General features: G+C 39.6%; 1 pseudogene, besides 1 other annotated feature; it reads right to left on the bottom strand.

Moving 5' to 3' along the window:
• Positions 1,001-6,387, bottom strand: ARPP19P1 (ARPP19 pseudogene 1; annotated as a pseudogene).
• Positions 12,865-13,054: an enhancer, noted in NCBI's record as "active region_23774". NCBI's record gives its function as "activates an Ori minimal core promoter by ATAC-STARR-seq in GM12878 lymphoblastoid cells {active_cell/tissue: GM12878}" and the evidence as "EXISTENCE:reporter gene assay evidence [ECO:0000049][PMID:35858748]".

The raw sequence follows: 13,754 nt of genomic DNA, 5'->3' as shown, positions 1-13,754 counted from the left end.
TCACGAGGTCAAGAGATCGAGATCATCCTGGCCAACATGATGAAACCCCGTCTCTACTGAAAATACAAAAATCAGCCAGGCATGGTGGTGCGCACCTGTAGTCCCACCTACTTGGGCGGCTGAGGCAGGAGAATTGCTTGAACCGGGAAGAGGGAGGTTGCAGTGAGCCCAGATTGCACTACTACACTCCAGTCTGGTGACAGAGTGAGGCTCTATCTCAGAAAAAAAAAAAAAAAAAAAAAAAAAAAGAGATCATCTCAGCACAGGGTAGTGAGGCAGTGAATTTGCCCAGGCACACAGGCCATGCCCCATGAGACTCATATTTCCTGGCACAGCATGAGGTAATTCTGCCCATCCCTCCCTTGTCTTGAGTTCAGGGACAGGACTCTGATCATGAGGCCAGATTGTGTTGAACTTGCCAGAACAACCAGGACCTTGATCTCCAAGGATCCAAGGTATTGAGAAGGGGACCAAGACGATGTTTCAGGCCCGGGGGTAAGGCAAAGGCAAAGATGCATTCATTCAGTCATTCATTAGATGCACTAAGCCAGGACACACACAGTTAGGGATTATGCAGTGATTTCAAGTCTAGGGACATGCACAAAGAATAAGCACTTACTAGATCAGAAAGCAGGTTTCCACGGAGAGCACCACGAAGGACAACGAAGGTAAAGAGCAATTTAAAAAGAGGAAACCCCATGAACTTAGAAATTGTTAATAACACAATTTTAAATAACTAATGGGTCTAAGAGAACTAATAATAGAAGTTGAAGGTAATTAGACTAGAAGAAGAATGAAAACACTACATTTAAAATACTATGATGCATGTAAGGCAGTTCTTACAGAAAGGCTTATCCTTAAGTGCTTGTATTAGGAAAAAAGAAGTCTGAAATTGGCTGAACAAAGCATCTGAGTTAATCAGAGTTAACTCTTGGATCCTGAGGGTCTCTGGCCACTCGCCTTGTCTTTTCTCTCCCTTCACTTTTCTTTTTTTTTCCCCCACAATCTGTAAACATGTAATCCTACCTTAAGTACAAAGCCATTACAAATGCAAAAAAATCAAAGATTACAAGTCAATTTCTTTCTGCCTACAGTAATAGCTGAAATGTAAAGAGATCAACTTCAGAAAAAAATACATTGAAAAACATACCACTTTAATAAGACAAAACTGCAAATTAGATGAATAGAAATTAGGTAGATCCATTTATTTTTTAAATACAAGTATAATTTTGGAAGAGCTATTTGACAAATTCAGCATTAACTGCCAACTCTGTAGACATGTTTAACAACAACAACAAAACAAGACATTTACTCTTGGCCCTTTTAGTACAGGTGAAGTGTCCTATTGCATCACAAGTATTAGTAATGAAGTAACAGATCCAAGGGCATAATATTAAAGATGTTTTTTTCCAATTGCGATTTAGTTGAAAAATAACATAATACGAACATATATGAATGGCTATCAAGACCACCAGTGATCTGCAGAATACCTAGAGGCCTACGTACTTAGAAGGCTGAAACTAGTAAAACAGTATTAAAATCAGTGTTTTTATTCTAAGATGAGCAATGACAGAGTGAGATTTCTGATTCCAATTTTATAAGGTGCGGTGGGGAGTTGAGAGGAGATATTGGGGAAGACTGGCACTTTGTGCTGAGTTAGAGATGGGAATGTGGCTCAAATTAGTTAATATTCAGAGTAGGATATTGTTTTAGAAAATTTTAAATGCATTCTAAATTGTGGCATATTGAAAAGGATATTAAGGAACAATGATTCATTAGCCCTAAACACAATTTAGTGAGTGCCATCAGTAGGCTTAAGAAATAAGCAGGGATGGCAGATGATGAGGCAAAATGAGGTGAAATAGAAAATGGAAAGTGGAAAATATGCTTGAACATTGGAGAATGTGAAAAGACCACTAAAGAAACTGCTTTGGTGATCACTCAGAAGTGCTCTTCCCATTGGCTACCCGCTCCTGATCACCTCTTCCCATTGGCTACCCGCTCCTGATCACCTCTTCCCATTGGCTACCTGCTCCTGATCACCTCTTCCCATTGGCTACCCACTCCTGATCACCCAAACACCAATTTTAGAGCACAGCAGCAGTAACTCCCTTTATCTGCAATTTCACTTTCCATAGTTTGTTACCCGAGGCAACCTTGGTCCAAACATATTATGTGGAAAATTCCAGAAATAAACCATGTTTTAAATCACAAGCTGGTTGTGCACTGTGGCTCATTCCTGTAATCTCAGCACCTTGGGAGGCCGAGGAGGGCGGATCACCTAAGGTCATGAGCTCGAGACCAGCCTGGCCAACATGGTGAGACCCTGTCTCTACTAAAAATACAAAAATTAGCTGGGCATGTTGGCGGGCGCCTGCATTCCCAGCTACCTGGGAGGCTGAGGCAGAAGAACTGCTTGAACCCAGGAGGCAGAGGCTGCAGTGAGCCAAGGTCGCACCACTACTCCAGGCTGGGTGATAGAGCGAGACTCCCTCTCAAAAAAAAAAAATAATAATAAAATAAATCACAAGCCATGTAGTGATGAAATCTCATGATCCTCCTCCTCTGTCCTGCCTGGGATGTGAATCATCCCTTTGTCCTGCTTATCCACACAGGTTGTATACAACCTGCCCCTTAGTCGCTTAGTAGCCGCCTTGGTTGTCAGATTGAAAAAACATAGACTATACAGGGTTTAGTACTATCTGAGGTTTCAGGCATCTACTAGGGGTCTCGGACTGTATCTCTTGCAGATAAGGGGAGACTACTGTATTACATTTCAGCTTCCATAAAACTTTACTAATTCGGATTAAGAACACAAGCCTGATTTTGTAAAAAGCATCCATAAATATTCAGAGGTATAGTTTTGCTTCATCAAGTAAAAAGAGCAACTAATTCCAACTGTTGAAGTAGTAACAAGTAAAGGCTTCACCAGGCTTGCCTTGATGAATAGTTAAGACACATTTTCAGGTCAACAGCACAAGATTATTGAATAACTTTTATGCTACAAACGCTGCTTCCACTCATCGAAACAACCCAACAATCCTTACTATTCCAATTTGCTGAGAACCATGTCGGATGCTGCCTTCAAGAATGAAATGTTCCTCAAAACTGTTCTATCAAAGGCAGTAGCTATTGGACATAAAACAGGTGATTTATTTCAGACTTTAGTTAGTTTTCATGAAGTCTTCATCTCCAACTTCAGTTTATTCCAACATTAATTTATGATAGGACAGTTATTAAAATTAGCCATTTCTCAGACTATAGCTTTGAAATAATAAGAAAGGGACAATTGGGCTCACTAGTCAAAATCTTGATTCAAGTGATGATCCAATAGCTTACAAATGTCTTCAATAAACTGAGCTTTGGGGCAGGATGAAAAACAGAAAAATGTAAAACCTCTCTATCGCAATCACCAATAATGGAGGCTAGGCAATTACACCTACAAATCCTTAACGACAGACCTCTCCTAATGACAAACCCTGAGACTTGAGCACTGTGACTTACAGAAGGCCGGTTGGCTTAATGAGGAAATTTACTTTTAATAAAAAGACAATCAGCAATATTTTATTTTGGGCACTTAGTGTTTCACAGATCCTCAATACGTTTTGAGGTAGGTCAAATATTAATAGTGTATTTTACAAACAAAACTCAAGCAGTTGTTTTGTTACTTGTCCCAAACCACAGGAGCAGTTCTATCGTGGTCAGGAATAACAGGGTCTCTCTGACCTTTCAGATTAATCTTTCATGTGTGAAGTTAAGCGTAATCACTTGCAAATATTCGTGAAAAAAACCCAGAAGACTAGATATAGAAATTCTACTTTGGGATATTTTAAACTTCTTAAATTGATCCTATAATGAGTATATACTTGCTCTCATTACAAATATCTATATCTCTGATCTTTACAATTACAAATGAGCACAGGAGTGACTATGTTGCTTTTCTGCCTTTCGGGGTGAGTAGAGCAGGAAGATAATCAGTAAGCTTTCCTCAGAGCACTAGGCAGCCTTTAACTGAAGGTGCTATGTTGGAGGCACCATTGACTATGATTTGGGATCATAGGAGAGCAGGTATACTAATGGAACCAGGATTCAGAAAAGATGCCTGGATCCAAAAAGAGGAGGCTCTCTGCAAGTCAAAGATGAAGAGAAAGATAGTAACATCTGAAGTTACTGATCCTGAGTATCATGGTACAGCATTACAACTACTTGTGAGAGGAGCTCCTACAAGAGCAGTAAGCTTGTCCCAATAAAGTCTGTTAAAGTTCTTGCTAACTAGGTAAGCCACAAGTAAAACTAAATTGTTATTTTATTAAAGTGACATCTATAGAAGCAAATATCTAAACATTTTTAATATGAGTAAGTTTTACCTGTCATGTGAATTACTCTCATTGTCACAAGCCCAATTCTATTAGCTTGTCATAATTCCTAAAATAATGTACCAAAATTCAGCTCATCTTGACATAGGTTCTTGAGCCAGTATTCTGTACTGTTTGATTATAAAGTTCCTTTTATTTAAACAATTGTAGAATATTGGTAATAATAAAGGATTAAGAATAGTTAGCTTGAGCCTAGGAGTAAGGTTGCAGTGAGCTATGATTGCACTACTGCCCTAGAGCTTAGGTGACAGAGAAAGACCCTATCTCAAGAAAAAAAGAGAGAGAGAGAGAGATTAACAACTGAGAAATTAGAAGGAAAACATCATTATTGTGTTATTTAAAAGAGTAAGGATATAGACACCTATGCTTTCGTATAGAACAAACAACCCAATACCATTTGAGTCGAAGAACAAAAGGGAAAAAGCAGGTGGCAGGGGGCATAGAATGCAGAGTATTGAAGCCTTTTACTCTAGTGTCTCCAAAGTTGAGTGTGGAAGTAAAAAGTTTCTACATTTAAAAAGTTTATATAAATTATATGAATTGCAACTTTCATAAAAATCAAAATGAAAGGTTCTGCATAGGACAAAAGATATTCCTAAGCAACATATCGTATTTGCACAAGGCCACTGAATGCCATGGATATTAGTAACAAATGAAAAGCTTAAGTCTATGACAGATTGAACTAAGATTTCAGTTTGGTATTCTATAAGCCCGAGATTGTAAACTACTCTTATTATACAAAAGCTATAATGACTTACAGAGTTTTGTGTAGGACCTCTTGTGCTTCTGCTTGGCACATTATCTACTTTTTAAGTATGTGAAATAAATATAGGCATTTGTGAGAGGTTGTGCAAAATTATTGTATTTACAAAAATGGCACAAAAGTGAATTCAACAGTCATTGCACATCTTCAACAACAAAAGGTATTCTGACTCTACAGAACTGAATAAGAATATTAGCTTCGACGGCAGCTGTTAAGCACTAGGGTCACATAAGTTACACCAGAATGGGCAAATATTGCCCAAGTAAAATTCTACTGTTAAAGCTGAAACAGGTTTAAGGCCATTCAAGTTCAAGCACAGAGATACAAATCTTGTGGAGCCCCATCTAGTTGTTTGAAATAGGTGACCTTTCTTCTAACTTGTGGTCTTAAACCTCTGTTTTACAAAATCCAAAAGGTTTATACAGAAGAAATCAATACAATAGAGATTATATTAAATAAGAGTAACATACAAAGCTGTAATTAAGATGAAGTAATGAAAGTCAAAACATTAAAATTTTAAAACTTGCTTGTTACTTGTTAGAACCAGTACTACACTAGGAGTTAGGTAATACATACAGTTATTTTCAAGTAGTTTACTTGTGTTGCTCTGACATGTCCTCTTCCCCAGTGCACTGTTAAACTAATCAAAAACTCTACACCTGTATATTCCACAATAGCAGCACACATTACTGATACCTGCAAAGCTGTCGGTCTCAAATGACTTAGTGAATGAAAGGAAATAAAAAGGTAAGTAACATATTAAAGAGAAATAATGGGAATTAGCAGCTTCATGCAGTTCAGCTCTTTTAATCAGCCAGCCAGCTTGTTAGCAACAAGGGATGGTTTCCGTTGAGGAAGGTCCTGTGGAGTAGGAATGTGGTCACCAGTGACCTCCGTCTTATCTGGAGCTGCAGTAGGAAGTTGCTTGCTCTTCGTTTTTGCTTTAGCCCTGTTGTAATGCCCAGAATCAAAATATTTTTGCCCTTTCTGCAATCGTTTCCTTAAGAAATCTGAACCTCCAGGCTTTTGTCCCAGATGAGGATACCTTGCTTTTAATTTTGCTTCTTCAGCTTTCTCTGGACTAGTCACTTTATCTTCCTTTTCCTTCTGCTCCTCCGCGGAGGCTGCCTCCAGGACTTCCGCAGCCATAGTTGCTCCCTCTGCAGAGGCGAGAGCCGGGAAAAGGTGCGACTAGTGGGTGTCCCGCGCCGCCTTAGGCCTGCCCGCCGCCGGGCCCGGCTCTCCCAGCCTCTCCCTTCACTTTCCGAGCAATTCGCATTGAAGGGAACTGTGAGACTCTGGCCGGGGCTCCTCCCCTGTGGGCTCTCAAAACCCTCAGGTCTTGGACTCCCCCTCCAACCGCTCACAACTGGTATTTTGCTCTCCGACCATTGCTCTCTTCCCTCCTCTTCTCTCCCTCTTCGTCTCCCTCTCTTCCTCCCGCAGCTCCAGTCTGAGGCCCTTTGCCGATTCCAACTGCAACACCCAATGCTGGACACTAATTCAGCTGAGGTGTAAAATCTGCCTTCTCCTGGCTTTCTCCGGGTACCAGAGCTGTCCCGGTCCTCGGGGGACCCAGGGGACTCGGCTAGAGGAAATCTTGGGGACGCCCGGTTCCTTCTCAGAAAGAGGCTCCGGGTCTCTGGCTTTTGTCTGGGAAGGCCCAGAACCAGACAGACACCCCTGGCTTCCTCTTACCAGCCCTCGCGGGTGCCCAGCACCCCCACATTCCTGCGTCCTCCCCACTGAACTGTCGTCTTCACAGCCTCGTCAAACTTGGCTTAGTCGGGAGTCTAAAGCCAAAGCGTTTAATGTTATCTTGCAAACGTCCTGGCCCCAGTACAAACTAGATAATGACAGCCAGCGGCCCAAAGCAGCACCTTTACCCTTCAGGTTCTCAGGAACCTTGACGCCTTTATCACCAGAGACGGTAACTGGCAAAAGGTTCCCTATATTCAGGCTTTCTTCTCCCTTAAGCCCCGCCCTCCTCCTTCTCCACCGGTTCAAAACCTGCTCCAACCAGTGAAACCTCCTCCGCCATCCTCCCTCTCCCAGCAGTGGCTGGGCTTGAAGGAATCACTCATGTTCACGTCCCCTTCTCCGGGTCTGATTTGTTGCAAATCGAACAGTGTCTGGGATGTTTCCCAAAAAATCCCTCTCATTATCACAGGGAATTCCTGCACGTAATTTAACTTGGCATAACATTTCTATAATTCTAACCTCCACCCTCACCCCTAGTAGAAAGAACGCTCAGCTTAATTAAAATTAAATATCCAAGCTATAAGTATACTCAAAAGGCCTTTATGTTTTTCTCTTCATAAATCTTGTTTTCCTAGAAAAGGTGTTTTTCTCGGTCACCTAAATTACTTCTCTCCACTCTGTCTTACCACTCTTGGTGCATATGTAAAAGACCCCAAAATAACTTCTGGTGGCCTGGGACTCCTTGGGAAAACAGAAAAGGCACCACAAATCCCATTTTGGGAAAAATCTCTGTTTTCCTCATGGAACCCCTGGAAGTAGAGGTGAATAAGTACCTCTCAAAGTCTGTCTTTGTCTTCTGGCTCTGCTTGTTTATTAGGCCCTGGAAACGGTATTCCTAGCACTGTTCTTAAAGGGCCTCACCTGAAGGCCAATAATCCAACAGGGAAATTAGCAAAAAATGAAAAATCTTACAACGACTGGTTCTTCTTCTGGTTGTCTGTGTGGCTATGCACGTGTTATGTGTGCCATGTCTATTAAAAAGAGGGCTAATTAATTGCCTAAGAAAAATAAGTGCTTAAATCAAATATTTTTAAGGGAAAAGTAAAAGTTGTGATACCTTTCAGTTCACGTAACTTTAATATTTAAAAATAAAAACAGTCTTAGGAATTATTGGTAAAATACCAATGTCTTCAAGGTGTAAAAATGCGGCATATGTTAGGCAGGTCAGATACTAGGTTTGCTGTTTTAAGGTTGTAAACTGCTTCTTTATCCTTTAAAAACTGTCAACTTACCTGCTTCACAATTGATAAGGCCAGAAACATATCAAAGTAACCATGCCCCTAACTATGCTGGAAAAAGTCAGACTTCATCTGCATCTGGCACATAATTTAAAAAACTTAACAGGTTTTACATTAAAGTTAAAAATTGCTAAAAGTTACCATTATGACATGTAGTGAAAACTACTAAACATGAATTTACATGCAAGGTGCATAAAAACAGTAAAAAGTGTTTCAGTCAAAAATTAAAAGAAGGTACAAAAATGTACATTTTGCTTAAAAATAAGTTATCTTAAAATTAAATTAATGGATTAAGCAAATTGTAAAAACATTATAAAAATTAATTCTGCAAAGAAAACTCTGTGTGTAAGTATATTAACTAAACTCAAAAGGGTATAACTTTTTTTTCTGTAAATTAAACACTAAAATAAAAGCACCACAAGGTTTTCTTAAAATGCTAATCTACTCTTTAGCAAAATGTGTCAAGGATTATAACAGGTATGTAAAAATCTCACTTCATAGTCAAACTGGTTAAGATTAAATAGAATTGTCTATAAGGTTTCATTAAAATTAGGGTTAACATTAATAAACTAATGAAAGGGTAAAATGTAACTTTCTCTCTTAAACAGAATTTTCATGTAATAAAAAAGGCTAATAAATGGTTTTTGCTTTTCCAAATTTTTAACTCATCATTTTGGCAAAACGAAACAAAACAAACACACAAATGAACAAAAATAATAATCTAAAATTCCATTTCATAATATCAAATGGTTTAAATTTTAAACATATTTAACAGGCTTCCAAAACCAAACTTTAGTCTCAAAATTGTCTTTCCTAACCCCTAAATTTTAGGTCCTGCAAAGGGCCCCTAAAGCATCTGGAACAAAGGTAAACAGGATTATTTAACATGTTTAGGTACATAAAATTGCCAAAACACTGCCTAATAAGTTATATTTTAGGGAATAATATTAACATATGTTCCAAAACTGTATGAAATGTCTAATGTTAGTGTCTGAATATGTGCTATCAATCACAATTAAGGTTGTTATGTTGGGTTATTGTAAACCACAAAAATGACTAAATTTCTTTGTTAATTGTGTTTCTAACTGTATCCAAACTGGACATTTTGTCATTTGCACACAATTGTTGTTTCGTTTTAATTCTTTTCAAAAGATGGTTTATAATCAAGCTGCGGGACTTTAACAAGTGCTCTCAAACATGAGTTTCTCACAACAACAACAAAAAATGTACAAAATTCATGGAAAGCTAAAATGTTTATAAATATCAAGCAAAATTTAAGAAAATGGACTAAACTAATAGAAAACCAAAACAAGTTTTTACCTTTTGCTTAAAACACTGCTAATCCTTATTTTATTTTTTCAGAGTCAAGAAAACTTGTCTTAAGCTAGTGACAGACTTTCACAGCTAAGTAAAGTATATTCCTGTAAATAGGATTTAAAGCGTGTTTCTCTCTGCCTAGGTCCTCTAGAATTTAAAAACTAGTTATAAGTATTCTTAAATTACACCAATATAGTTGTTTGCATAAGTGCGATAAGAAACTGTTTTCTGGGCCGGTCACGGTGGCTCACGCCTCTAATCCCAGGACTTTGGGAGGCCAAGGCGGGCGGATCACGAGGTCAGGAGATCGAGACCGTCCTGGCTAACACGGTGAAACCCCATCTCTACTAAAAATACAAAAAATTAGCTAGGTGTGGTGTCAGGCGCCTGTAGTCCCAGCTACTCAGGAGGCTGAGGCAGGAGAATGGTGTGAACCTGGGAGGCGAAGCTTGCAGTAAGCTGAGATCGCAACACTGCACTCCAGCCTGGGTGGCAGAGCAAGACTCCATCTGAAAAAAAAAAAAATCTGTTTTCTGGCCGGGTGAGGTGGCTCACGCCTGTAGTCCCAGCACTTTGGGAGGCTGAGGCGGGTGGATCACCTGAGGTCGGGAGTTTGAGACCAGCCTGACCAACATGGAGAAACCCTGTCTCTAGTAAAAATACAAAATACAAACTTTGCTGGGCATGGTGGCACATGCCTGTAATCCCAGCTACTGGGGAGGCTGAGGCAGGAGAATTGCTTGAACCTGGGAGGCGGAGATTGCAGTGAGCCGAGATTGCGCCATTGCACTCCAGCCTGGGCAACAAGAGCAAAACTGTGTCTCAAAAAAAAAAAAAAAAAAAAAAAAAGAACCTGTTTTCTTTTGTAACAGAACACAATTGGAGAAACTGGTTATTTTGCCAAGGCTTTGACTGGAATGGTGTGCTCTCCTTTAAGGAATCAAACTTGACTTATGGAGCCAATATAGCCCTTGGACACTGGCCTCAGATTCTGTGTACACAGCCCCTGTACAGGGTTTCTGACCTGTGGTAAGTAAAGAATGTCAGTTTCTCGCAGGCCAGGAACCCCAAGTTATCTTAAAACCTGAAGAGGAAAGGAATTCTGCCAACTCATAGGTGTTTAATAGTACAAATCCATGGCTGGGCTTGGCTTCAAAAAGTCTTATCTCAAATTCCTTCTATGAAACAAAGTGCCATCAAAGCCAATTTAAAAGGCCTATGTAGCAAATAGTTATTCTTGCTGAATTGTATGCAAATAATTAAGCCAAGTATAATAAAGCAAATCAGTCCTACCATGACTTGTCTTTTAATAAACATGGAAAACGGAACAGAGAAAATTATGTTTCAAACACTATAGCACACCTGTTGTTAAATTCTAGTCTTGCCTAATATTTTTCAGTTTTTACTATTTGCTACAGTTTAACTTATATCCATTACAGAAATCAACTCCTAAATACATCACACTCAAGTCAAAGCTTAAAAATCTGAGGAAGCAACTCCTAACAGCCCAGAGAAATGTCCCAAATATCAATGTACAAAACATAAATAATCTTAAGCTAAAAGCACAAAAAATAAGTTCGTAAGTAAAAATTACTCATCTTACTCAGTCTCACCTCTATCTCACCAAATACTTTTTGTCATTTCTACTTCTCGTTTTAAGCCAAATATTAAAACGTTTTTAATGGAAATTATTTACTATGCCACCCTTGCAGGAATTGCTTTACTCACTTTACTATTTGCAGGAAAACTATATACGGTAGCACCCTCAGGGTAAAATATCGGACAGAGAATCTCAATTACTGTAGCATTTTGCTTAATTATGATCCTCATAGTAGGAATAACAGTTACTAACAAAAAATAACACATAGGCCTTTCCAAACATGTGCCTCTACCTCTCATTGGAAAAAAAAAAAAGTTGCTTCTATCTCAACCAATCAGGCCTAATAAAAAATGCTGCTAAAAAGCCCAGGACTCATGTTTTTACCCTACCTAATTCAGCTTTTTCAAAAATTCTTAACCAATAGAATCATGGCTATTTCACAAACAACTACCCAAAACATCTACAAATGGCATTGCTCCTTCAGCCAATCCAAAACCAGAAATCTGTCTGCCACCCCCCCCCCAGCAGGAAGTAGCAAAACAAACAAACAAACAAAAATATTGCCCCTCATCCTTTTATAACTATAGGGTCTAGAATGACAGGGCAGGAGCACCGTCATGTCAGTCAAACATCGCCACTTTAATTTCCAGCCCCTTTTCTAGCCTCCTGCATTTCAAGGAAGTCACTTCTCTTCTAACTACAAGCAGCCGGAAGGAGCAGACAGTAAAACACAGATAAGACACCTTGGGCACAGAGGGAGGGGGGAAAGTCTCTTGGGTAACAGCCAAACTTCACCCTCATACAATGGGCCCCAGTGAAACAGTGGGCCCTAGTAAGCACATTCCTTTCCCTTTACGTGCACTAAGATAGGGAAGCTAAAAGTAGACTCGGGGTATACCTGCAGCTTCAGGAAAATGGATGGAAATGCACACAAACTCTCCCTCCCAGATAAGCGAGACAAAGAAACACAAGAAACATTCCAAGCCTATAATAAGCTGTCCCACATCAAACCCTTAAAAACTCTTAGTGTGTAAGAAAAAATGCCTCTAACCTAACTTGGCCAGAAGCCCCTCTCAAGTTTATTCTCCAAAATAAACCTGTCTTTAATTGTTAAGCCACTTTTGGTGTTTCTTTTCTCTTTCTTTCTTACACTAGTAAGCTAAGCTTATAGGCTAAAAAGCTATAAGTAGGGAATGATTTTTAAAGCTCAGTGTTATTATGGGTAGTAGTCTTAAAGAATAGCACAATAGCATATATTTGAAAACAGCAAAATGAATTCTCTGCATGCAATAGAAGTTCCATGCAAGAGAGAGTCAGGAGGAAACACAAGGAAGGTGGAGGGGCACTCATAGAAGGTCTCCGCTGAGTTTTCACATTCGCCTTATCTTTTTTATTATGTGTATTTAAGGTACACAAGATAATGTTTTGATACATGTTCATAGAGAAATGATTACTACAGTCAAGCAAATTAACATCTATCATTTTGTGTGCATGTGGTTAAGAGCCCCTAAAATCTATCCTCTTAGAAAATTTGCAGTATACACTACAATATCATTGACTATAGCCCTCATGTTGTACTTCAGATCTCTGGATGCATGCGTCTGTATCACTGAGACTTCGTATCCTTTAATATACATCTCCCCAGTTCCTGCCACAGGTGTGTTCAGAGTTACAGTGTTTCAGGATCAGGTCAGGGCCTGCCTCTCTATGACGGCTCAGCTTGTGCCTGGATTCAGGGAACACTTAGAGAGACCTTGGCTCCAGGGCCTGGAGTGTACACCAGCTTGGTATGGTGATGGCTCCAGTCTCTGAAGCGTGGGCATCCATGGAGCAGCTGAGGCTTGGGGGTTATGGCATGCATGAGGTTGAGAGAGGAGGCAGGTGATTTCCCAAAGTGGCTCAACAGCAGCAGCTTCTTGGGTAAGGGAGGGTTGTGAAGCTGTGCCTTCCTCTATGGGGTTCCCCCAACAGAAATATCTGTTTCTTAACTCAGTGACAAAACATGCCAGTGTCTTGTTTGAAGAAGGCCCCTGGGGACCATGGTGGTTCCTGCCATGCGGCTGATATCAGTAGCTTTCACCTTTCTTCTTTGACCCTAGCCATCTCCTGGAGTCTCAGATATGCCAGTCTCACCAGTGTTCTTTTCTGTGGATAGCCTCCTTTTTTATTGTATTTTGTTGTTGTTATTGTTTTTGCTCCACTGTGTTGCCTCACATTCTTTAATGTGCCTTTGAGCCCTCTTAGAGATATTTTCATTTGTGGATAGCTATTTATTTTCTTTGGGGGTGGATAAAGGCTAGTATCTCCAGTTTTGCCATCTTGATGACACTCCCCACCACAATTTGTTTGTTTCCATATCTTGGCTATTGTAAACCATGCTTCAATGAACATGGAAGCACATATATGTTTACAAGGTGGTGATTTCACTTCCTTTGAGTATATAGCCAGAAGAGGGATTACTGGGTCATATATTAGTTCTATTTTTTAAAATTTCTAGAGGAAACTCCACATTGTTTTCCAATATGACTGCAACAATCTACATTTCCAACAGTGTCAATGGGTTTTCTTTACTATACACCCTCACCAACACCTGTTATATCTTGTCTCTTTGATAATGGCTATCCTAACAGTTGTGAGATGGTATCTCATGGTTTCGATTGTCATTTCCCTGATGATTAATGATGTTGGACATTTTTATA

Source organism: Homo sapiens, chromosome 5, assembly GCF_000001405.40.
Source record: "Homo sapiens chromosome 5, GRCh38.p14 Primary Assembly".
In the NCBI taxonomy this organism is placed as follows: domain Eukaryota; kingdom Metazoa; phylum Chordata; class Mammalia; order Primates; family Hominidae; genus Homo; species Homo sapiens.
The sequence above is the reverse complement of the archived record's forward strand: the minus strand, read 5'-3'. Positions and strand labels throughout refer to the sequence as shown.